Genomic DNA, 24,165 nt, shown 5'->3' with positions numbered 1-24,165 from the left:
AGTGTCTGCTCATGTCCTTCGCCCACTTTTTGACTGGGTTGTTTGTTTTTTTCTTGTAAATTTGTTTGAGTTCATTGTAGATTCTGGATATTAGCCCTTTGTCAGATGAGTAGGTTGTGAAAATTTTCTCCCATGTTGTAGGTTGCCTGTTCACTCTGATGGTAGTTTCTTTTGCTGTGCAGAAGCTCTGTAGTTTAATTAGATCCCATTTGTCAATTTTGGCTTTTGTTGCCATTGCTTTTGGTGTTTTGGACATGAAGTCCTTGCCCACACCTATGTCCTGAATGGTAATGCCTAGGTTTTCTTCTAGGGTTTTTATGGTTTTAGGTCTAACGTTTAAATCTTTAATCCATCTTGAATTGATTTTTGTATAAGGTGTAAGGAAGGGATCCAGTTTCAGCTTTCTACATATGGCTAGCCAGTTTTCCCAGCACCATTTATTAAATAGGGAATCCTTTCCCCATTGCTTGTTTTTCTCAGGTTTGTCAAAGATCAGATAGTTGTAGGTAAGCGGCGTTATTTCTGAGGGCTCTGTTCTGTTCCATTGATCTATATCTCTGTTTTGGTACCAGTACCATGCTCTTTTGGTTACTGTAGACTTGTAGTATAGTTTGAAGTCAGGTAGTCTGATGCCTCCAGCTTTGTTCTTTTGGCTTAGGATTGACTTGGCGATGCGGGCTCTTTTTTGGTTCCATATGAACTTTAAAGTAGTTTTTTCCAATTCTGTGAAGAAAGTCATTGGTAGCTTGATGGGGATGGCGTTGAATCTGTAAATTACCTTGGGCAGTATGGCCATTTTCATGATATTGATTCTTCCTACCCATGAGCATGGAATGTTCTTCCATTTGTTTGTATCCTCTTTTATTTCCTTGAGCAGTGGTTTGTAGTTCTCCTTGAAGAGGTCCTTCACATCCCTTGTAAGTTGGATTCCTAGGTATTTTATTCTCTTTGAAGCAATTGTGAATGGGAGTTCACTCATGATTTGGCTCTCTGTTTGTCTGTTGTTGGTGTATGACAATGCTTGTGATTTTTGCACATTGATTTTGTATCCTGAGACTTTGCTGAAGTTGCTTATCAGCTTAAGGAGATTTTGGGCTGAGATGATGGGGTTTTCTAGATAAACAATCATGTTGTCTGCAAACAGGGACAATTTGACTTCCTCTTTTCCTAATTGAATACCCCTTATTTCCTTCTCCTGCCTGATTGCCCTGGCCAGAACTTCCAACACTATGTTGAATAGGAGCGGTGAGAGAGGGCATCCCTGTCTTGTGCCAGTTTTCAAAGGGAATGCTTCCAGTTTTTCCCATTCAGTATGATATTGGCTGTGGGTTTGTCATAGATAGCTCTTATTATTTTGAAATACGTCCCATCAATACATAATTTATTGAGAGTTTTTAGCATGAAGGGTTGTTGAATTTTGTCAAAGGCTTTTTCTGCATCTATTGAGATAATCATGTGGTTTTTGTCTTTGACTCTGTTTATATGCTGGATTACATTTATTGATTTGCGTATATTGAACCAGCCTTGCATCCCAGGGATGAAGCCCACTTGATCATGGTGGATAAGCTTTTTGATGTGCTGCTGGATTCGGTTTGCCAGTATTTTATTGAGGATTTTTGCATCAATGTTCATCAAGGATATTGGTCTAAAATTCTCTTTTTTGGTTGTGTCTCTGCCAGGCTTTGGTATCAGAATGATGCTGGCCTCATAAAATGAGTTAGGGAGGATTCCCTCTTTTTCTATTGATTGGAATAGTTTCAGAAGGAATGGTACCAGTTCCTCCTTGTACCTCTGGTAGAATTCGGCTGTGAATCCATCTGGTCCTGGACTCTTTTTGGTTGGTAAACTATTGATTATTGCCACAATTTCAGCTCCTGTTATTGGTCTATTCAGAGATTCAACTTCTTCCTGGTTTAGTCTTGGGAGAGTGTATGTGTCGAGGAATGTATCCATTTCTTCTAGATTTTCTAGTTTATTTGCGTAGAGGTGTTTGTAGTATTCTCTGATGGTAGTTTGTATTTCTGTGGGATTGGTGGTGATATCCCCTTTATCATTTTTTATTGTGTCTATTTGATTCTCCTCTCTTTTTTTCTTTATTAGTCTTGCTAGCGGTCTATCAATTTTGTTGATCCTTTCAAAAAACCAGCTCCTGGATTCATTGATTTTTTGAAGGGTTTTTTGTGTCTCTATTTCCTTCAGTTCTGCTCTGATTTTAGTTATTTCTTGCCTTCTGCTAGCTTTTGAATGTGTTTGCTCTTGCTTCTCTAGTTCTTTTAATTGTGATGTTAGGGTGTCAATTTTGGATCTTTCCTGCTTTCTCTTGTGGGCATTGAGTGCTATAAATTTCCCTCTACACACTGCTTTGAATGCGTCCCAGAGATTCTGGTATGTTGTGTCTTTGTTCTCGTTGGTTTCAAAGAACATCTTTATTTCTGCCTTCATTTCGTTATGTACCCAGTAGTCATTCAGGAGCAGGTTGTTCAGTTTCCATGTAGTTGAGCGGCTTTGAGTGAGATTCTTAATCCTGAGTTCTAGTTTGATTGCACTGTGGTCTGAGAGATAGTTTGTTATAATTTGTCTTCTTTTACATTTGCTGAGGAGAACTTTACTTCCAACTATGTGGTCAATTTTGGAATAGGTGTGGTGTGGTGCTGAGAAGAATGTATATTCTGTTGATTTGGGGTGGAGAGTTCTGTAGATGTCTATTAAGTCCGCTTGGTGCAGAGCTGAGTTCAATTCCTGGGTATCCTTGTTGACTTTCTGTCTCATTGATCTGTCTAATGTTGACAGTGGGGTGTTAAAGTCTCCTATTATTAATGTGTGGGAGTCTAAGTCTCTTTGTAGGTCACTCAGGACTTGCTTTATGAATCTGGGTGCTCCTGTATTGGGTGCATATATATTTAGGATAGTTAGCTCCTCTTGTTGAATTGATCCCTTTACCATTATGTAATGGCCTTCTTTGTCTCCTTTGATCTTTGTTGGTTTAAAGTCTGTTTTATCAGAGACTAGGATTGCAACCCCTGCCTTTTTTTGTTTTCCATTGGCTTGGTAGATCTTCCTCCATCCTTTTATTTTCAGCCTATGTGTGTCTCTGCACGTGAGATGGGTTTCCTGAATACACCACACTGATGGGTCTTGACTCTTTATCCAACTTGCCAGTCTGTGTCTTTTAATTGGAGAATTTAGTCCATTTACATTTAAAGTTGATATTGTTATGTGTGAATTTGATCCTGTCATTATGATGTTAGCTGGTGATTTTGCTCGTTAGTTGATGCAGTTTCTTCCTAGTCTCGATGGTCTTTACATTTTGGCATGATTTTGCAGCGGCTGGTACCGGTTGTTCCTTTCCATGTTTAGCACTTCCTTCAGGAGCTCTTTTAGGGCAGGCCTGGTGGTGACAAAATCTCTCAGCATTTGCTTGTCTGTAAAGTATTTTATTTCTCCTTCACTTATGAAGCTTAGTTTGGCTGGATATGAAATTCTGGGTTGAAAATTCTTTTCTTTAAGAATGTTGAATATTGGCCCCCAGTCTCTTCTGGCTTGCAGGGTTTCTGCCGAGAGATCCGCTGTTAGTCTGATGGGCTTCCCTTTGAGGGTAACCTGACCTTTCTCTCTGGCTGCTCTTAACATTTTTTCCTTCATTTCAACTTTGGTGAATCTGACAATTATGTGTCTTGGAGTTGCTCTTCTCGAGGAGTATCTTTGTGGCGTTCTCTGTATTTCCTGAATCTGAATGTTGGCCTGCCTTGCTAGATTGGGGAAGTTCTCCTGGATAATATCCTGCAGAGTGTTTTCCAATTTGGTTCCATTCTCCGCATCACTTTCAGGTACACCAATCAGACGTAGATTTGGTCTTTTCACATAGTCCCATATTTCTTGGAGGCTTTGCTCATTTCTTTTTATTCTTTTTTCTCTAAACTTCCCTTCTCGCTTCATTTCATTCATTTCATCTTCCATCGTTGATACCCTTTCTTCCAGTTGATCGCATCGGCTCCTGAGGCTTCTGCATTCTTCACGTAGTTCTCGAGCCTTGGTTTTCAGCTCCATCGGCTCCTTTAAGCACTTCTCTGTATTGGTTATTCTAGTTATACATTCTTCTAAATTTTTTTCAAAGTTTTCAACTTCTTTGCCTTTGGTTTGAATGTCCTCCCGTAGCTCAGAGTAATTTGATCGTCTGAAGCCTTCTTCTCTCAGCTCGTCAAAGTCATTCTCCATCCAGCTTTGTTCCGTTGCTGGTGAGGAACTGCGTTCCTTTGGAGGAGGAGAGGCGCTCTGCGTTTTAGAGTTTCCAGTTTTTCTGTTCTGTTTTTTCCCCATCTTTGTGGTTTTATCTACTTTTGGTCTTTGATGATGGTGATGTACAGATGGGTTTTCGGTGTGGATGTCCTTTCTGTTTGTTAGTTTTCCTTCTAACAGACAGGACCCTCAGCTGCAGGTCTGTTGGAATACCCTGCCGTGTGAGGTGTCAGTGTGCCCCTGCTGGGGGGTGCCTCCCAGTTAGGCTGCTCGGGGGTCAGGGGTCAGGGACCCACTTGAGGAGGTAGTCTGCCCGTTCTCAGATCTCCAGCTGCGTGCTGGGAGAACCACTGCTCTCTTCAAAGCTGTCAGACAGGGACATTTAAGTCTGCAGAGGTTACTGCTGTCTTTTTGTTTGTCTGTGCCCTGCCCCCAGAGGTGGAGCCTACAGAGGCAGGCAGGCCTCCTTGAGCTGTGGTGGGCTCCACCCAGTTCGAGCTTCCCGGCTGCTTTGTTTACCTAAGCAAGCCTGGGCAATGGCCGGCGCCCCTCCCCCAGCCTCGCTGCCACCTTGCAGTTTGATCTCAGACTGCTGTGCTAGCAATCAGCGAGATTCCGTGGGTGTAGGACCCTCCGAGCCAGGTGTGGGATATAGTCTCGTGGTGCGCCGTTTTTTAAGCAGGTCTGAAAAGCGCAATATTCGGGTGGGAGTGACCTGATTTTCCAGGTGCGTCCGTCACCCCTTTCTTTGACTCGGAGAGGGAACTCCCTGACCCCTTGCGCTTCCCAGGTGAGGCAATGCCTCGCCCTGCTTCGGTTCGCGCCCGGTGCGTGCACCCACTGGCCTGCGCCCACTGTCTGGCACTCCCTAGTGAGATGAACCCGGTACCTCAGATGGAAATGCAGAAATCACCCGTCTTCTGCGTCGCTCACGCTGGGAGCTGTAGACCGGAGCTGTTCCTATTCGGCCATCTTGGCTCCTCCCCCCAGAAAAGGACAATCTTAAATAAAATATTTTCTTTGTATCCCTGACACGTAGCACCATAATTATACATATATGATGCAAGTGAATGAAGAAATGAATGACTGCCTACATTGGGTGGATGGGTGGGTGGATGGATAAGTGGTTGGATGGATGAATGGATGATGGATGGCTAGGTGAGTGGATGGACAGATATATGGATGAGTGGAGGAATTACACAATATGTGAATATTGCCATATTCACTATAAAGTGAATGACTTGTCTGGTATTTAGCAATGCTCAACGCTCTCAGGGTACTGCTTTTTCTCACAGTACCACATTCTTTTTGGTCCTGGGAGTCATATTAATCCACTCACCAATAAGCAAATGGCTGAATAGTATCTAGAACCGGTGGATCTTCCTAGCCACCATAAAGTGGCTTCCCAGTGCTTCAGAAAACATTTTCATAAGAGCCAGAATTTGGGCAGAGTCACAGTTAATCTCGTCGCAGTGGAAATCTTCCCAGTACAGGATAGGCCTGAGTGCTGAGTGAGTGGCAGCGCTTCTGCTGCCAGCAGGAGACTCATTAAATATAGCCTCCTAGGTAACTAAAAGGTGATGTTGAGCCCATTAGAGAGCTTTGTAACACTGTGAACAGCATTTAGTGCTCAGCTGTTTCTCACCCACCTCTCAGATGGTCCCAGCAGGAAACATGTCTGTGGCTGTCATGTTTATAGCTAATTAATGTTTATTTATATTTTTAAACAAGGCTTTCACCTGTCATGCTTTAAAATAAATGTTCTGCTCTTCAATTAGAGGTTGTCAGAGCAGAGAGGAATTCTGTTTTGTTGTGGATTGAATGTGTGCGTGTTTAAATGTGTATTATATAGGGATTTCTTCCTTTTAAGTCCCACTCTCTGTCTCTCCTCTTAGAAGCTAAAGCTTTCTACTCAGAGAAACATACTTTTTTCAAATTGTGACCTGCTGTGCAGGCCATGTGCTTGCTTCCAGAGGGTAGACTGCAGAGATTACAGTGCCTTCTAAGATTGCAGGAGGGAGAAGGTCAGAATGAAAAGATTGTACATTTTCAGCAGTGTAGAACCAGTATTCTTGTTTTAACTTTGTAATTTCAATAGCTTTAGTAGTTTTTGGTTATGTGGATGAATTCTATAGTGGTAAAGTCCCCTTTAAGTGTACCTATCACCTGAATAGTGTACATTGTACCCAACAGGTAATTTTTCATTTCACTCCACTCCCACCAACCCCCTTCTGTTTCTCCAAGTGTCCATTATACCAGTCTGTATGCCTTTGCATACCCGTAGCTTATCCCACTTAATGAGAACATGTGATATTTCATTCCTGGGTTACTTCACATAGGATAATGGCCTCCAGTTCCATTCAAGTTGCTGCAAAAAATATTAATTCATTCTTTTTAAGGTTGAGTAGTATTCCATGGTATATGTATATGTGCATCTGTGTATAAATATATATATATACTGTGTATTTATATATATATACACTATATACATATATATACTCTGTGTGTATATATATATATATATATATATATATATACACAGACACAAACATATCTGTGTGCATATTTATATATGCCACATTTTCTTCATCCACTCATCAATTGATGGGGACTTAGGTTGATTCCATATCTTTGGGCAATTATGAATTATGCTGCAATAAACATATATGTGCAGGTATATTTTTAATACAATAACTTTTTTATTCCTTTGGGTAGATACCCAGTAGTGGGATTGCTGGATCAAATAGTAGATCTCCTTTTAGTTCTTTGAGAAATCACCATACTGTTTTTCATAGAGGTTGTACTAACATACATTCCCATTGGTAGTGTATAAGCATTCCCTTTTGACTGCATCCATGCCTACATCTGTTGTTTTTGATCTTTTAAAAACGGCCATTCTTACTGGCGTAAAGTGGTATCTCACTGCAGTTTTAATTTACATATCCCTGATAATTAGTGACGTTGAGCATTTTCTCATGTTTCTTGGTCACTCATATAACTTCTTTTGAGAAATATCTGTTCACGTCATTTAACCACATTTTAATAACATTATTTCTTTTTTGTCTTGCTGATTTGTTTGAGTTTCTTGTAGATTTTGGATATTAGTCTTTTATCAGATGTATAGTTTGCAAACATTTTCTCCCATTCTGTAGGTTGTCTGTTTACTCTGTTATTTCTTTTGCCATGCAAAAGGTACTTAGTTTAATTAGGTCCCATTTATTTATTTTTGTTTCTGTTGTCTTCACCATAAATTGGAGTCTTCACCATAAATTATTTGCCTATGCCTATATCCAGAAGAGTTTTTCGTAGGTTTTCTTTGAAAATTTTTACAGACTCAGATCTTAGATTTAAGTCTTTAATTCATCTTGAGTTAATTTTTGTATTTGGTGAGAGACAGGGATCCAGGTTCATTCTTCTACATGTGGCTATCCAATTTTCCCAGCGTCATTTACTGAATATATATTTTTTCTACTTGGTCAAAGATTAGTTAATTGTAGGTGGCTGGCTTTATCTCTGGGTTCTCTATTCTGTTCCATTGGTCTATGTGCCTACTTTTATACCAGTGCCATGCTGATTTGGTAAATATAGACTGGTAGTATAACTTGAAATCCAGTAATGTGATGCCTTCAGATTATTCTTTTTGCTAAGGTTTCAGCTATTTTTTGGTTCCATATAAATTTTAGGATTGTTTTTTCTAATTCTGTGAAAAATGATGTTAGTATTTTGATAGGAATTGCATTAAATCTGTAGATCACTTTGGGAAATATGGTGATTTTCAAAATATTGATTCTTCCTATCCATGAGCATGGGATATTTTTCCATTTGTCGGTGTCATGTCTGATTTCTTTTATCAGTGTTTTGTGGTTCTTGTTGTAGTGATCTTTTACCTTCCTTGTTAAATATATTCCTGGGTATTTTTTTTTTGTAGCTATTGTTAATAAAACGGAGTTCTTGATTTTATTCTCAGCTGGTTGTTATTGGTATACAGCAGTGCTATTGATTAGTGTACATTGATTTTGTAGCCTGAGACTTTACTGAATTCAGTTATCAAATGTAAGAGTCTATTGAGGGAGTCTGTAGGGTTTCCTAGGTATATGATCATATCATTAGCAAACAGAAATAATTTGATTTCCTCTTTTCCAATTTGGATGCCCTTTATTTCTTTCTCTTGCCTGATTGCTCTGGCTAGGACTTTCAGAATGAGGATTCTTAAGAGAAAAGAATCCACTTTGTTCTCTAAGCAAAAAAAGATTGACTCAGCAAGACTAGAGGGTTCAAATCCTGCACACTCTGAAATAAGATCTGTCCCTTGAATGACTCCTAGGAAATAAACTTCACACTCTTGGAATATTCTGCTGGATAACAGATCTTTCTTTACCTTGGGACTTGGGCCATGCCAGATGGTTGATGCTAACAATGTGACTTATGGTGGGGCTCTAGGACCATGAGATATCAATTTGACCTCTGGAGAGATGGGAGACAGAGTAACTAAGATCAGCCACGTAGGATATTTGATGGCTACATAACTGACCCCCCAACAAAAACCCTGGACACCAGAGCTAAGTGAGGTTTCCTGGTTGGCAACCCATATTGTTGCTGGAGAGTCAAGCACTGTCTGTGTATCTCTACTGGGCAAGGATACCTGGAAATTTGTACCTTGTCTCTCCTGTACTCTGCCATGAATGCCATTTACCTTTTCTGATTTTAATCTGTGTCCTCTGAAGGTAATACACTGTAATTATGAATATAACTGCTATTCTGAGTCCTGTGAGTCCTTCTAAGGAATCACTGAGCCTGCGGATAGTCATGGAGCTCCCCAACACACGCTTTCAACAGTAAGTAATGAAGAGAGGCTATGTTGCAGGGTAGAAAAACATATCAGAACTGAATTCCCACTCTGCCATACACCTCTGGGTGATCTCATTGAAATCAGTTTACTTGTTCATCTCTTTTGAGATTTAAATAAGATTCTACATTATATATTCATCCATTTTAAAAATAAATATTCATTGAATGTGCCACCTTTTTGTCACATAGTAGATGTTCAAAAAGTGGCTAAAGGTAGAGATGATTAATTGATTTGGCCCGTATGTGAGCTTCTTCACTCTATTTTAAGTTTGTTAGGTTAGGTAAGGACTCTGAATTTGGACGTATGTCCCTCTACATGTTTGTAGACAGGTATGTTCACAGTTTGTAGTTAATAAATGAGCATTTTCATATGGTTACTTGGCTGCCATTTTCTCTTTATTATCTTGAGCCAAGTCCTCTGGTTTCAAATAGTGTTTTTTCAATCAATTGTATAGTACTAGAGGCTTGGGAAAACAGCCTAGATATAAAAATCCCTGGGGCAGTGCCAGAATAAAATTTGGAATATAAGTATTAGTTGAACATAAACACCTAGAGGATTTCGTTCCAAACACTATTTAATAGGTATATACATTTTCTTTCTTATGCAATAACTGAGATACCAGAAAAATGAAGACTCAGGATATGGAATGAAATATGATTTTTTGCCCAGTTTTTACCAATGACTACTACGCTGGGGGTTTGCCTTTGTTGTGGGGTCAATTGTGTCCCCCCAAAAGATGTATTCAAGTTCTAATCCCTGGTACTTGTGAATGTAACCTTACTTGGAAACAGGGTCTTTGCAGGTATGATAAAACTATGATGAGGCCATACTTAATTAGAATAAGCCCTAATACAATGACTAATGTCCTTATTAGAAGAGGGCAACTTGGACACAGAGGGAAGATGGCCTTGTGAAGACAGAGGCAAAGATTAGAGTTACACTGCCACAAGCCCAGGAATGCTAAAGATTGCTAGCAACCACCAGAAGCTGGAACAGACAAAGAAGGATTATTCCTTAGAGCCATCAGAGTGGGCATGATCCTGCCAACACCCTGATTCCAGACTCACACCTCCAGAAATGTGAGATAAGTTTCTCTGGCATTACACAAAGCTACCCAGTTGTGGCAGTTTGGTACAGCAGCCCAGGAAGTCAATGCACCATGCATCCTCCATTCTATCTTGTCATACATAGGTTTTTGGTCATTGTCTATTCTTGCCTTGGCAGAATATACTCTGCTTCCTGGAAGGTAGAAGGAAGCAGCCAGGAAGGTGGAGGCAGAAGGAAGTGACTCACCACGGGACTTCGGCCAATGCTGCTCAGGTGGTAGAGGAGGCCTTTGGCATGGTAAATGGTTGGCTGCAGATGAGCACTGGGAGAAAGCCATTGTCTGTTCAAATCTTCCCCGCTCAGTGAGCATCTGTGGCTACAGGAACAAATAATAAGCAAATAAATACACATTCAGAAGAAAATAACTTGAGAAAATAAAGCTCCACAAGATAAACAATTAAACTAATGACTTCAAAACTTTCCTCTGATTTCTTCCCAATTGGCATCAATTTCAGATGTCTAGAAAGCTGTAGATCTGTCCTTTAAGCTCCAAAGTATCATAATTATTCACAACCCCCAAATGAACTAGAAACCATATTTGACTTGCTATCAGATTATCAGAGTTTTAAGACAAAGTTGGAAAATGTAGTTCCCCATTATATACATCCATGGGGAATACATTTAATAAATTTCTCTAGGCTATGCGTTCTTCAGTTCTACAGATAATTAAGTTGCATTCAATCTATCATACTTGGTGTGTTACATATGATATTTCCAGCTGGTTCAATAACTCTGCAAGGTAGACATTAGAACACCCCAATGAAGAGAGTGAGGCTTATAAATTATTAAATGGCTGGAGATCTAGGCCATAAGAAGGAGCTAGGCTTTCCCCCCAGATTTATTTGCTTCTAACCCTGTTCTCTCTCTTCTATTGCACTGCTTGACATTTACCAAGAGAATCAGAGTGCCTTTTTCAACTATATCATCATGGTATATTAGAGCAATAATGAGCTCAAAATCATACATTCCCTTATTTGGGGGAATGATGATGTTCGTATTCAAAAGTACCAAGTTACTTTACAAAAGTGACCTAGCTGGTAGTGAAAGGATTGACTGCCACTCACAGTGAGGAAACTGAGATGCTGAGTTGTCAGGCAGAGTGATCCTAAAAACCCACAACCACCAGAGATTACCAAGGGCAGCCCCTGCACAGGACACATTCCCAGTAGTCCTGCTAAGGTATTATTTACTCAGTAGGGTCAATGAGCTAAGTGCCACAGATTGGGAGGATCAGCACAGCATCCCCAACACCTCCAGCACCCCCAACTCCTCCCAAATCCTCCACCATTGTCCTTCCACACCCAAGCTCAGTGGAATTGCTAACAGTTCCCACTTGACTTATGGCCTCCAGAAGTGTGAAATGAGTTTCTGTTGTTTTAAGCCACCCAGTTTGTTGTAGTGTGCTGCAACAGCCCTAAGAAACCAGTACACAATACATCACCCATTCTATCTTATCATACATAGGTCTTGGCTGGGGCTCCTCCATCTTCATGTACCCCTACCTCTTCAACGTTTAGGGGATCAATCTGCAGGGGAACTTTCCCTGATTTTCCAGGCCATTGCATCTATCTCCTATTTGCTGCAATAACATCCTGAGGCCCCCTTGATCAGAGTCCTTATAAAACCATTTTGGATGGATTTTTATTTTTATTTCTCTTGACTTCCCAATTAGACTAGGAGCCTCCTGGGGGCAGGGACAGTGATAGTCTCTTGGTCACCATCAAAACTCTAATATAGTAACTCTGTCAAGAGTTGATATTGGATAAATAATTTGGAAAGAATAAATTTACCAGCATTCATATGCAGAATCAGATATGATTTCTGTTTTGTTTTGTTTGAAACACAGTGTTTTCAATAAACATTGGAGGTAAAAAGAAGGTTCAGTCTTCAGTCTTCTCCTTTTACCACTTATTCATTTCCATGTTCCTGAAATTATCTTTAAATATTAGCTTCCTGTTGCCTGTCAGACCTTCTTACAACTTACTGGAAACTAAAAATCTTCAGATTAATCACTTATCCTGATTTCTCCATTAAAATATTTTGACTTGATAAATGGTAGGTCTTGTGCATGTTCCTCTCTGGCATTTTTTATTCTTTGCCTGCTTTTTTTCTCCCTTTCTGTTTTTAATAGCAATGACATCTAGAAATAGAGTTTATCAGTTCTGCCTGGTGACCAAGGATGAAGGTAAAATATGAAGCAGATTTTCAATGCCGATAGCAACAGAAAGGAACAGGCAGCCCAGACTTGCTCCCAAGCACATTTGCTGTGTTTAAATGAATTGCTTTTCTCAAATCAAGGTACTTGCAGGCACAACATCCCAGAGCCCCAGGATTCTCTTTGACTGCTCTGTGATTTCTCCTTGCCTTGACCTGGATTCTCATCAACACTGGGGATTTGTTTTTTCCTTTGTAACACTGACTGTGACGAAATTAGTTGAGGCCCTTTAAAAGCATTTCTGCTTGTATAAATGAAAATGCAAGCATACATGTGTCCAGCAGCCAGCAATTCTGTATGAACTCTCTCTACATCTTCTTTCCCTATGCTCCATGGAAACCAAGTTCAGGGGCAACATCTACATGGAGAAGGCTCACGTATTACCACTTTGCAGAAATACTATTTTAGATCACAATTTCCAAGAATAAAAAAAATAAAGTTTTGTGCTGAAACCAGAAGCCCAAATTTGAATAAGACCTAGTTCCAACTCCAAGCTGCTACCAGATATAGGATTTGAGACCTCTTTGAGAGTCAACATTCTCATGTGTGAAATAAATAAGTCAAATCTCCCCCTAGGTTTATTTTGAGGATCGAATGAAATAGCTATTTTAGATATCCCTATAGAGAAATATCATATACTTCTATCTCTACCTATGTCTGTGTGCATGACTATATCCACATCTGTATCTATGTCTACATCTTCATCTACATCTAAAATGCTCAAGGATGCATAGCACAACTTTGACTACATTCATTGGTTCCTTACCTCATCCTAATTTTTTTTTCTTATAAAGAATAATCAGATAGCTATATGCAGGGTGAATGGAAGGGAGAAGTGTCTTGACTAAGAACTCCAGGCAAGAGGCTGTGGTCATTTTTAAGTAACAGTGTACTTGGACACACCTAAGGGTAGAGGCAGTAGGCTGAACAGAAAAGAATTCATCTAAGAAAAAATGCAAAGAAATAATCAGTAGAAATTGCTGATTGAAATTTGGGCTGTTAAACAGCACACAAAGGAGGACCACATCTAAGAATATTTAAACATAGAGATTTGGAGAGAAATTGGGCCAATGTGAGACATACAGAACTTAAGAAAGCTCTTATTTTGGGGAAAATTTGGTTTGTTTGTTGTCTGTTTTGGAGGTAGAGGCAATGAATCATTCCATTTGTGTAGATAGGTTGTGTGGATTTGGGAAGCCCATGTGATTGTATTTGTCTTCAGGACTCTATGGTGGTTATGATTTGGAGAGTATCTCTGTGTGTGACTAGGGCTTTGGCAGTCCCTGTATCTATGCAAATGCAGGTTATTATAATATGTACAACACCTAACTTGAGTGCTTTTCCTTTTAAAGTGAATCCATTTGCTTCTGATCTCTGAATCCATTTGGCATTTTGTGTTAATAATATCAGAGATTCATGCAGTCAGAAGAGCTGTTGCTGCTCTTCCCAGGGATTTAAGCATTTGAAGATGAAATGCACCCTATCTTATTATCTACTGTAGCATTTCTGAAATGACAGCTGCTCCTTCTATGGGGGGAGAATTAGCAGATGGACAGCTATGACTGGCTGGCAATAAATTCAGTGCCTATAATTTCTGAAAAGTGGTCCTCTCTCAAATAGTTTGAAGTTCTGCTTTCTTTATAAGAATCATAAAATGGTGATTATTGCTATAGTTGGCCCTCTGTATCCATGAATATGGAGGGCCAACTGTACTAAGCCATTTTATATAAGAGGCTTGAGCATCCACGAATTTTGATATCCATGGAGGTGGGTGTGGGGAAGGTGTCCTGGAACCAATAATCTGCAAATATCAAAGGATGATGTTATTTTTCCCTTCACTGAAAATAAGTTACAGGGAAAAATTATCCACTTCATTTTGTTTTTCACAAATAAAGACATTTGATCTGACTTGTCCTCCTTATTTTAAAAAGCTTTAGTTTAAATAGCTAGTTTAAGATAAAGTTTATAGGCACTAAATATGCCAGATCTAGGATGCTCAGATATCCAGTTTGTCTAGGAATGCTGCATTTTTAGCTTTGAAATGCTTGCATCCCTGTAACTCTCTCAACAAATGCACACCAGAGATGTGATAACCTTGCCTAGATCCTTAATTTTAGAAGGTGGTACAGAGTTGGAATACTTCACCAGAACTAGACTGAATTATTTTGCACTGACTGAATGTTTTTAGGTGGGAATTTCATATGCCACTGAGGGTCAGGCATCCTTATTGCCTATGTTTACCTTGATTGTTTCCCACACGCATTATCTTTCTGTTCTTTTCAGGCATTTGCAGCCAATGTCTGGAAATCCTTAAAACTGAGGTTTTTGTGGGGCATATCTTTTTCCTTAAGAAAAGAGAAGACAGCTTCTGATCTCCAGAAAATATGGTCATTTTATGACCAAACAAAAGCATCTCAACTGAAATTATCGAAGAGTCAATCAGCAGCACTAGTCCTAACTAAAGGGTCACTGAATAGAAGCCACCAGCTGCATGACATTCTGATTAAAAGGGAACCTTAAAGGCTGGACAGTCTAAAGGACAATGATGCCACGAAAAATAATTCTTTTAACATTAATTGTGGATCTCGTTTATCTACTGAGAACAGGGATCCTCCAGAGGTTGGGAAACAAGTAACATAACCGCGGGCTTTAACAACTAGATCCTGAACTACCAGAACTCCTAAAGCCAAGAAAGGACCACAAGCAGAGACAGAGGAAAAGTGAGTCACCTTCTAAAAATGAATCTATAGGGCTGCCGTCCCAATACAAGAGGATTCAAAAATCTCCCATCCGTCCATGACTGAAAAACAGAGGGATAGAGCCCATCAGACTGAATGAATGATGCCAGGCTAGATAATATTAGTGCCTGCAGCACAGCAAGCTCTGGAGCCTAAAGAGAGGCAGCATGTTTGAGATTTAGGCAGCAGCTTCGCCATTCACTGTACATCCTAGGTGAAGAAGGCAGGAAGGGTGCAGGAGGAGAATATCTATGAAGGCAAAGAGATGCATGAAAGCTTCAAGAACACGACGAAGAGCATGGGGGACTATCGGCCAGACACTGCACCCAGAGCTTTCCAAATAAACATGGTTTGGATGGAGAAAAGAAAAAAGAGGAAAAAACCAAAAGACAACTTCATTTCAAAGCTACAGTTGTTCTAAAGCTCAAAACAACCAGGGTTGTCAGGGACATGTTATTATGTTCAGGATATTTTTTGTCACGCAAAATGCTCAGGAGAGTCAATAATCCAGAGAGCAAGGGAAGATAAGAGATCTAACACAGGTGTTCCTACACACCTCCAGGAACCCAGAAATGGGTTACCAGAGGCATGATCACCCCAGAGCCCAGAAATGGGAAAGCCAAAATCTTTAAAGATAAGCCAGAAGAACTGACCTGGGTTCAAATGTCATCTTTGTGAAAGAAATTACCCATAGTTAACATTTGAACTTTGGTAGGTCTAAATACAAAATAGTTCTTTATGCCCTTGTTCCTCCAAGGGTAGTCACAAAGGAGGAGCAACAACATTACCTGGTAGCCTGTGAGATATGTAGAAACTCTAGTCCCAACCCTGAGTCTGCATTTTAACAAGATCCTAATGGACTGTGTATGCACATTAAAGTGAAAGAAGCAGTGCTTTCTACTAGAATTTAAGGTAAGAAGAAAATTAACATTCACAAAGGAATTATTACTTTATAAAGGGATTTATTGCCACCATGCTTCCAGAACTAGAACACATATTTAGGACTTTTAGCATCTCATCTGGAGCAGAGCCAGCTCCAAAAGCTTGGAGACACTCCCACTTACATACTTGCCCAACCCATTTTTCCCACTGTTGTGTTAGTCTCTTACATGTTTTAATTTGAACACCAATAGAGAAGATTAAAATGTGGTTTTCATTTCTAAGTTATTTTCACTAGTCTGATTTCATAATATCATTCAGCTATTCAATGGGGCAATTCAAAAGATCACACGACCAGGACAACTTCAGCTGAAATCAGCTCAGACCAGATTAAGTGATGAGCCAGATTAGCTGCAAATATAGAGAGAGCCCTACCGCATCACTTGCATCAATCAAGAACACGTGATCAGTTAAATCACTTTTTTTTTTTTTTTTTTTTTGAGATGGAGTTTCACTCTTGTCAACCAGGCTAGAGCACCATCCCGGCTCACTGCAACCTCCGCCTCCTGGGTTCAAGCGATTCTCCTGCCTCAGCCTCCAGAGTAGCTGGGATTACAGGCATGTGCCGCCACGCCCAGCTAATTTTTTGTATTTTTAGTAGAGACAGGGTTTCGCCATGTTGACCAGGCTGGTCTCAAACTCCTGACCTCAGGTGATCTGCCCACCTTGGCCTTCCAAAGTGCTGGGATGACAGGCGTCAGCCACCGCACCCAGCCAGTTAATTCACATTTCTACACAACACTTGTTCCCACATACAACTGACTGAATAAATTAAATATTACTCCCTGTGAAACAGTCAGCCCTCTGCGTTGGAAGTTTCTAAAGTTACGTCACCAGACTGAAAGGAAAATATATCTCGAGACCTCAAGATCACTAAGCTAAAGGGAAAAGTCAAGCTGGGAACTGCACAACCTTCCTCCCATTTTATTACCAAATAAGATAGCTACAAAGATAGAAAAGCTACATACCTGCCTCACAATTTGCCAACAAGGAGATTCCTTGTGGACAAAGATGACGGAACTCAAAGCCAACCCTCCGTTCACCTGAGACAAATGCATATATAATGGCTTTCTCTGCCCTGTTGTTTCACTAAGCCAGACTCAGGCATAAGTGACTACTCCTCTAGTTTCCTCTCACATGGAACTTGTGTATTCAGTAAAAGGCTAATCAGAGTCTCAAAAGAATGCAACTGTTTGTCTCTTATCTACCTATGACCTGGAAGCTCCCTCCCCCGCTTTGAGTTGTCCCACCTTTCTGAACCCAATCAATGTACATCTTACACATATTAATTGCTATCTCATGTCTCCCTAAAATGTATAAAACCAAGCTATGCCCCAACCACCTCGGGCACATGTCATCAGGACTGCTGAGGCTGTGTCACGGGCACGTCCTTAACACTGCCAAAACAAACTTTTTAAATTGATTGAGATCTGTCTCAGATACTTTTGTGTTCACAAGACCAACAACTGTTTGTGAAGAATTTGCCAAATACACATGCAAGTGAACAGTGAAACCTTAGGCTGTGCTACTAATTCTGAGGCCAGCCAGCCAACAACCACTTGAAGTCATCCATTGCAACCAGCTGACATTTTGAACAACATAACATTATTTAGTAGATAAAACTAAGGGTCATTTATTTAAAATCTGAAATTTTAAATTCTTTTTAATTCTCACAAAAAATTGTTAGAATAGGAAATAATAAAAGACAATGTTTAAAAATCAAGAACTAATTATTATTTTTATAATAATTAAAGCAAATAGAAACCTTTGAAAAATTCCACACCCACTCCTGATAAAGACAATCAAGAAAATAAGAATTGATAGATACTGTGCGTGTATGTGTGTATATACACACATACAGGCACACATGCACACATTCCTAAAGCCAGGAATTCTAAAAGTCTTAAAGGAAGAATTTTATTTAATGGAGAAACTCCAGAGGAATTTCCACTAAGAGCAGGCACAAGGTAATGAGGATCACTCTCTCCACAACTCTTCAATGTATAATTAGAAGTATTACCCAATGAACCTAGACAAGAGGTATTATTCAGAAGCATGCAAATCAGTAAAGAAGATCTGAAACCATGTGTATTTGCAGATAACATTGCAGCATACCTAGAAAACCAACTATTAACTCAAACAGTAAAGGAATTCAGTAAAGTAGCAGGATACAATATTAGCATACAAAGGTAAATTTCCATAAAGGAGAGTAGTTGAATAATTTGGTGCCGTCACAAAATGAAGTATTATGCAACTATGTAAAAAAAGAGGAAAATCCCAATGAGTTGATATGGAGTGGTAATTTTTAGGATGTGGAGTTAAATGATAAAGTTGAATGAAATATAACTTTTACAAATAAAAATATACAGTTAAGGGATAAAATAGCATAGCTAAGAATGAAGGAGATGAACAATAAACATGCATTTATTCCTTTGTGCAAGAAAATACAAGAAAGATAAATCAGAAACTAATAAGACTGATGGCCTAATGGACATGGGGTGGACATGGGGTATAACAAACAGAGAATGGGTAACTGGGAATGGGGTAAGAAGACTGAGGGGCAAGTGACATTTCCCTGAGCATATATTTTTGTCTAATTTCAACTTTTAGAACCAAGTTAACATTTCACATATTCATATCAATAAATAAATAAATATAATCAAACACAAGAGCCATGGAGAAAACCCAAATGGGTTACAAACATTTATAAATAAACTCTGTCACAAGTGACTAACACTAAACGAAGTAAGAAGAAAAGAACTGAACTGAGTAACTTTAGAAAATAAAATTTTGGCTATAAATGGTAAAGCTAAGGATAAAAAGAACAATACACAAATTTGTTTTTCATAGCAGTGCACAATTCTGAGCTGGCAATTCTAAAACTACTTTATGTGTATTCTAGGATTGAATAAATAAGTAAATCAATTATGAATAACAACAACCAGGTTTCTCACTGTTACAGAAAGGAATTACAAATAAGGAATTAACTCTGTGATTTTGTATTGAAATCAGAGGTATCAGCATAAACTCATGATTTTAAATTTACAGATAGATAAAGAAATAGATGTGTATGTGTGTGTGTGTGTGTGTGTGTGTGTTTGTGTGTGTATTCATACATCTATTTCCCAGCTCTGTCTGCTAGAAGAACCGAGAAATACTAACAAGCAAGAAACATATCTAGTTCCCAGATATCAGTTTCTAAATACCATTATTGAATAAAAGAAACCAGGGCTGCTTGAAGAAATGCCTGGTTTCAGAGGTGGGGCAGAAGAAAAGAATATCAGTCTGGAACAGAATATATAATGGTGCCAAAAAATAAGGAAGTATTTTTAAATAATGGAGACATGTTGAAATGACGCAGAGATCAATTCTAAGGGAACCACAATGGTGAAATGCAGTAAGATTTGACCACGAACAATAGTACTATGTTATAACCCATAGAATAAATTAAATATTCATAAATTCATAGTGATTTAAATAAATAAGTAGGGAAGAAGGAATAGCTCTTAATTTTAGTAGAATTCCAATTAGTACATAGAGAAGTAGATTTATACATTTAGAGAAAACTTAAAAAACTTATCATTTGACAAACATCACAGTAATAATCGATACAAGCAACAATCAGCAATGTAGCTAAAGTTAGTGGGTAAAACTATAATGAGCAACAGAAGATTCACATCAGAGTATCTCCCCACAAGACACTTACTAATCCCAAAGCAAATAATAGTAACTTTATGATGGAGAAGTCTGGAAGATACCACTTTATTCAAATGATCAAAGTTAACATCACCATTTGTGAGGCATGTCAACATCACATGCCCCTGATATGATACAACTGAGAAGGGTACAACATCACCTGTGTGACAACCTTGCCAGAAATACAAAGCCACTATTTAATAATGAGGAAACATCAGACAAACCCAATTCAAGGGATATTCTATATATAACTCACCAGTACTCTTCAAAAAAGTCAAGATAAACAGAAAAAAAACCTGAGGAACTATTTTAGATTAGAGGAGATTGAGAAGACACAACTACTAAATGCAATATATGATCCTGGAAAAACAACATTATTGGAATGATTGGTGAAATCTGAATAATGTATGTAATTAATACTAGTATATTAATGTTAGTTTCCTGGTTTTGATCATTATCTTACAGATATGTAAAATGTTAGCATTTAGGTAAGCTGGGTGAAAGATATGCAGGAATATTTTTATACTATTACTGTAACTTTGACAGATACAAATTATTTCAAAATGAATACTTAAAAGAGTTTTAAAAGTTATAACTTGAAAAAAGGAAAAAATCTATAATTTAAAAAAAATAATAACTGGAAAAACTCAAAAATTAGGTGATAATAAATGGTTAAAAAAAGAAAATATCATTTTGTAAATAAAACCTAGTGTAGAAAGAACACAAACATGAATAAATAAGACAAATAATGCCTTTAGAGAAAAATGTAAAATTAAAAACTTTGTTTTAATTCTGTAGAAGGGTAGAAAAAGATAACAAGGATTCAAGGCAAAGTGACAAATATTGAAGACAGGCAAAGAACATCTAACATATGAATAATAGTAGTTTCTGAAAAAGAAAAAGCCAAGGATCAAAAGAAATACTAAGACTTCAACCAATACCAAGAGATAATCTAGTGATATTAATGGATTTTAAAGAAAAAGAAACTCATTGGAAATCTAGGTAATAACAGGATATGACTTACCAAGGAAAAAATTAGATTACACCTTTTTGAGGACAATGTTTCAAAAGAAAATTGAACAAGGATATTCAAAGTATTAAATAAAAATATTTAAATAAAGAAAATGCGAGACAATGATTTGATGTCCAGAAAAACTGATTTTTCAAATATAGAGGTATAGACAAATTCTTATCAATATTCAAGAACCTAGGAAATATCATTCCCCATAAGCCTTGTCCTTAGAAATATATTAGAAAAAACCCAGATAAACAAAATGAGCAGAAAGATATGGACATTTTCAATTTTTGCAAAAGTAATTTGAGGACACCTCAGCGACAGACTTGATTTTACCTTACTATAATGGTTTTTTCCACCAGACATTCAGCACTTTAAAGACAAGATAGTGTTTTGTGTACCTCTGTGTCCCCAGAGCCTGAAAGAGTAGCTGGAACACAGATATTATTTCATAAACGTATATTCACATGAATTAAAATGGCATTTAATTGTATATTTTAATGTCCTAAACTGTGCTCAAAACCTTTTTGTTAAACCTAAAAAGCAAAATAAATGCTTTCTGACACCACAAAAGCAAGAACACATTATTCTCTACATTTATTTATATCTTGGTTGTCATGTCTGTAATGTAAAATGAAATGGATAATTATATATTTCATTTAATATTGAAAGCTCCTATCACACGGGAAAAATAAATGAGCCCTACTTCATCCTTTTGTTTTGTTTTAGACCAGGTGAGTATCAAAAGCTGTTCTTCCTCCCAATCACCATTATCTCAATCATCATCATCATCACCACCATTATAGTTCACATTCATTGAGCACTTATTTTGTACCATGCCTTTTATTAACTGCTATATGTATTCTCCTCATGGATCTTCACAACAACCCTAGAGGCATTTATAATTATAATTTCCATTTTGCACATGAGAAAGTTGAGATTTACAGATGTTAAGTAACCTGCCTAAGGTCACACAGCTAGAGTAGCCTCTGAATAAAGAGTAAACTATGTAACAGAGAGGACAGTTACTTATAAGAAGCACAAATGTCCTAACCATCTAATTAGCATGATTTATCCAGTGTTTGCAATGGATGAAAAGGGATGGGGAAGAAGCCTACAGAAATGAAAGGTGTCTGCTCCCCACACCTATATGAACCAATGTGTCTCAGCTTCTATCTGATTTGCCTGTTGAACTCTGGAGTCCAATTTTGTTTGAAGAAAGGATTTCACTGCTTAATATTTTAAAAATGGATGGGATGTGAGGCCAGTGCTGTCACCTGACCATAAGCCTTAGAAATCTTCTGACATCCTTGTGGTTTTCTTCTATGTAAAATTAATATTCCTCTTCCCATTTGACAAGTTTGTTTCAGGTACAAAATTATATTCAAAAGACAAAAATGTCATATAAAAACACTTTATTCACTAATTCACCACACATTTGTTGTTCAACTAGAACACCTACTATGTGTCGGATACTATTCTTATTCTGAGGATTACAGCAGTGAATAAGTCCTTCCAGGAATTTACATTCTGGGGATTATTATCAAGTGCCAGCTCCAAGCTGATATTATGTCTCTCTCGTTCTGACAATTTCTCAGCACCAACCCATCACAGTGGTCAGAAGGTGATAGACAATGAATTCACCTTTATCTGAGGAATAAATGAAAGTCAACTCCCCATTCTACTGCTGTCAGAATATTTTTTCTCTGGACAGTCAACTCTAAATTAAAACTGCAGCTTTATTACTGTGAATTCAACAGGTTTAATTATGAAATATTGATTGTTCCTGATCATCTCCATCTCAGCTGGGGCTTCCTCTAGGCTGCTGTAGTCTGCTTTGGATTAAAAGTCACTGTATATTCCTTGTTGGAGAGAAATCTTTAATAGAAAAATATCATGTAATGTTCCAAATCATTAACATTAAGAAAAATAGACATTGTTTTGTATAAACTTGCAATAGAACTTCTAGTCTTCTATCCCTACTGCAAAAAAGTTGATAAAGAAATTTAGAGCTGAGTTTTCTCAAAGAAGCTCAGAAATTAGAGTCCTGTAATGAATCATAAGACCCCATATTTATTTTCCTAGGTGGGAAGAATGCATGGGGTTTTACTTGTTCCCTTTTTCTATGCCTAAGAGCCTTCTTCATATTCAGGTAAGTTTTCTTTGCAGGCCATGAAGGAATTCCCCTGATGAGTTGATCAAGCCAAAATGTGTCTCTAGAGAGTAACAACTCTTCTCTTTCCTGCTAACTAGCAGATGTAGAAAAGAAGGTGATTCTTATGCTTTCTTTAGAGGATGTCAATGTGTTTAACTCTGGATGTATAATAAAATCCTGATTAGTCTCTTAGGACACGGGACACAGGTACAGAAAAATAATTTCTGCTGATTGGGTCTTTAAATAGCTAGGAAACATTTATCCCATTCCCTGAAAGCAATGCTGACTGCCAATACCTTCCTAGGTAAAAGAATGTCAAGAGTCATCTTGGAATTCTGGAGTTCCTTTTCCTTGATTTCCTGGTAGGAGAAAATGGATAGCACTCAGTGCCACAGAAGAAATCAGGAAAAAAAAAAAAAAATGAGCTTCAGCCTTGTTTTGACACTTGCTACAGTGTAATCCTAAGCAAGCTCCGTAGTTTTGGTTGGCTCAGAGATGTTGTTTTGTTTGTTTTGCTGTTGTTGTTTTTAAAGCAGAAAATTAGAACACATGATCTCTATCCAAGGTGACTTTCTCCTTTGAAAATGCTAATTCTAGGTAAAGGCATGCAAAAGAAAAGACAAAGTGTCAGTGACATAAATAAGGGAAGAGAAAGAGAGGGGAGGTAGGTTATAAGGTTTTATTTTTTGAAACCAAATTCATAAGAAGAAAAATTGTCTAAGATTTATTATCTCCTATATAAATTACAGCAATTGCCTCCTCACCGTTTTTCTCATCTTCTATCTATCGTAATGTTTCTCCTCCAATTTGACATAATTCCAAAAGTATATTCAAATTCTTTCACTGACTCCTGTTACCTAAAAAAGGATGTGTAAACTACTTTGGCTGACATTCAAGATTTTCTACAAACTAGTCTCATCTCACCAGTCCAACTCAATCTTCTATTACTGCCCAACACAAACCCAGTGGTCCAAGCAAACCATGTTTCCTTATTGTTCCCAGGCCACTATGTGCTCTCCCAACTCTCAAATCCCCTCACCTGCTGATGGAGCCATGTCTGCAGACCCAATCTTTTTCTTCTCCATCTCTTTCTTATTCTACCTGTCTTTCAGGAAACTTATCAAGCCTCGCCCCTTTCATGAGACTTCCTTTGACTACAATCTGTAGCAATTTCTCCAACTTCTAAAATTCCTTGAGAAAACAAAAATGGTGAAA

General features: G+C 38.2%; 1 protein-coding gene across 5 annotated transcripts in view, besides 1 other annotated feature; it reads right to left on the bottom strand.

The window, feature by feature from the left end:
• The window catches only part of AGBL1 (AGBL carboxypeptidase 1), a 951,857-nt gene that overhangs the window by 498,159 nt on the left and 429,533 nt on the right, over window positions 1-24,165 (bottom strand). For all 5 annotated transcript variants that reach the window (XM_011521227.4, NM_152336.4, XM_017021919.3 and 2 more), the window contains one exon: window positions 10,379-10,508. In XM_011521227.4, the coding sequence (XP_011519529.1) occupies window positions 10,379-10,508 (130 nt within the window). The remainder of the gene's footprint in view (window positions 1-10,378; window positions 10,509-24,165) is intronic.
• Window positions 4,387-4,971: an enhancer, noted in NCBI's record as "H3K27ac-H3K4me1 hESC enhancer chr15:87071578-87072162 (GRCh37/hg19 assembly coordinates)". NCBI's record gives its function as "activates a minimal SCP1, AML or CMV promoter by ChIP-STARR-seq in primed H9 embryonic stem cells {active_cell/tissue: H9 hESC(primed)}" and the evidence as "EXISTENCE:reporter gene assay evidence [ECO:0000049][PMID:30033119]".

This window comes from Homo sapiens, chromosome 15, assembly GCF_000001405.40.
Source record: "Homo sapiens chromosome 15, GRCh38.p14 Primary Assembly".
NCBI lineage: Eukaryota > Metazoa > Chordata > Mammalia > Primates > Hominidae > Homo > Homo sapiens.
Note: the sequence above shows the minus strand (reverse complement) of the source record. Positions and strands in the feature narration are given on the sequence as shown.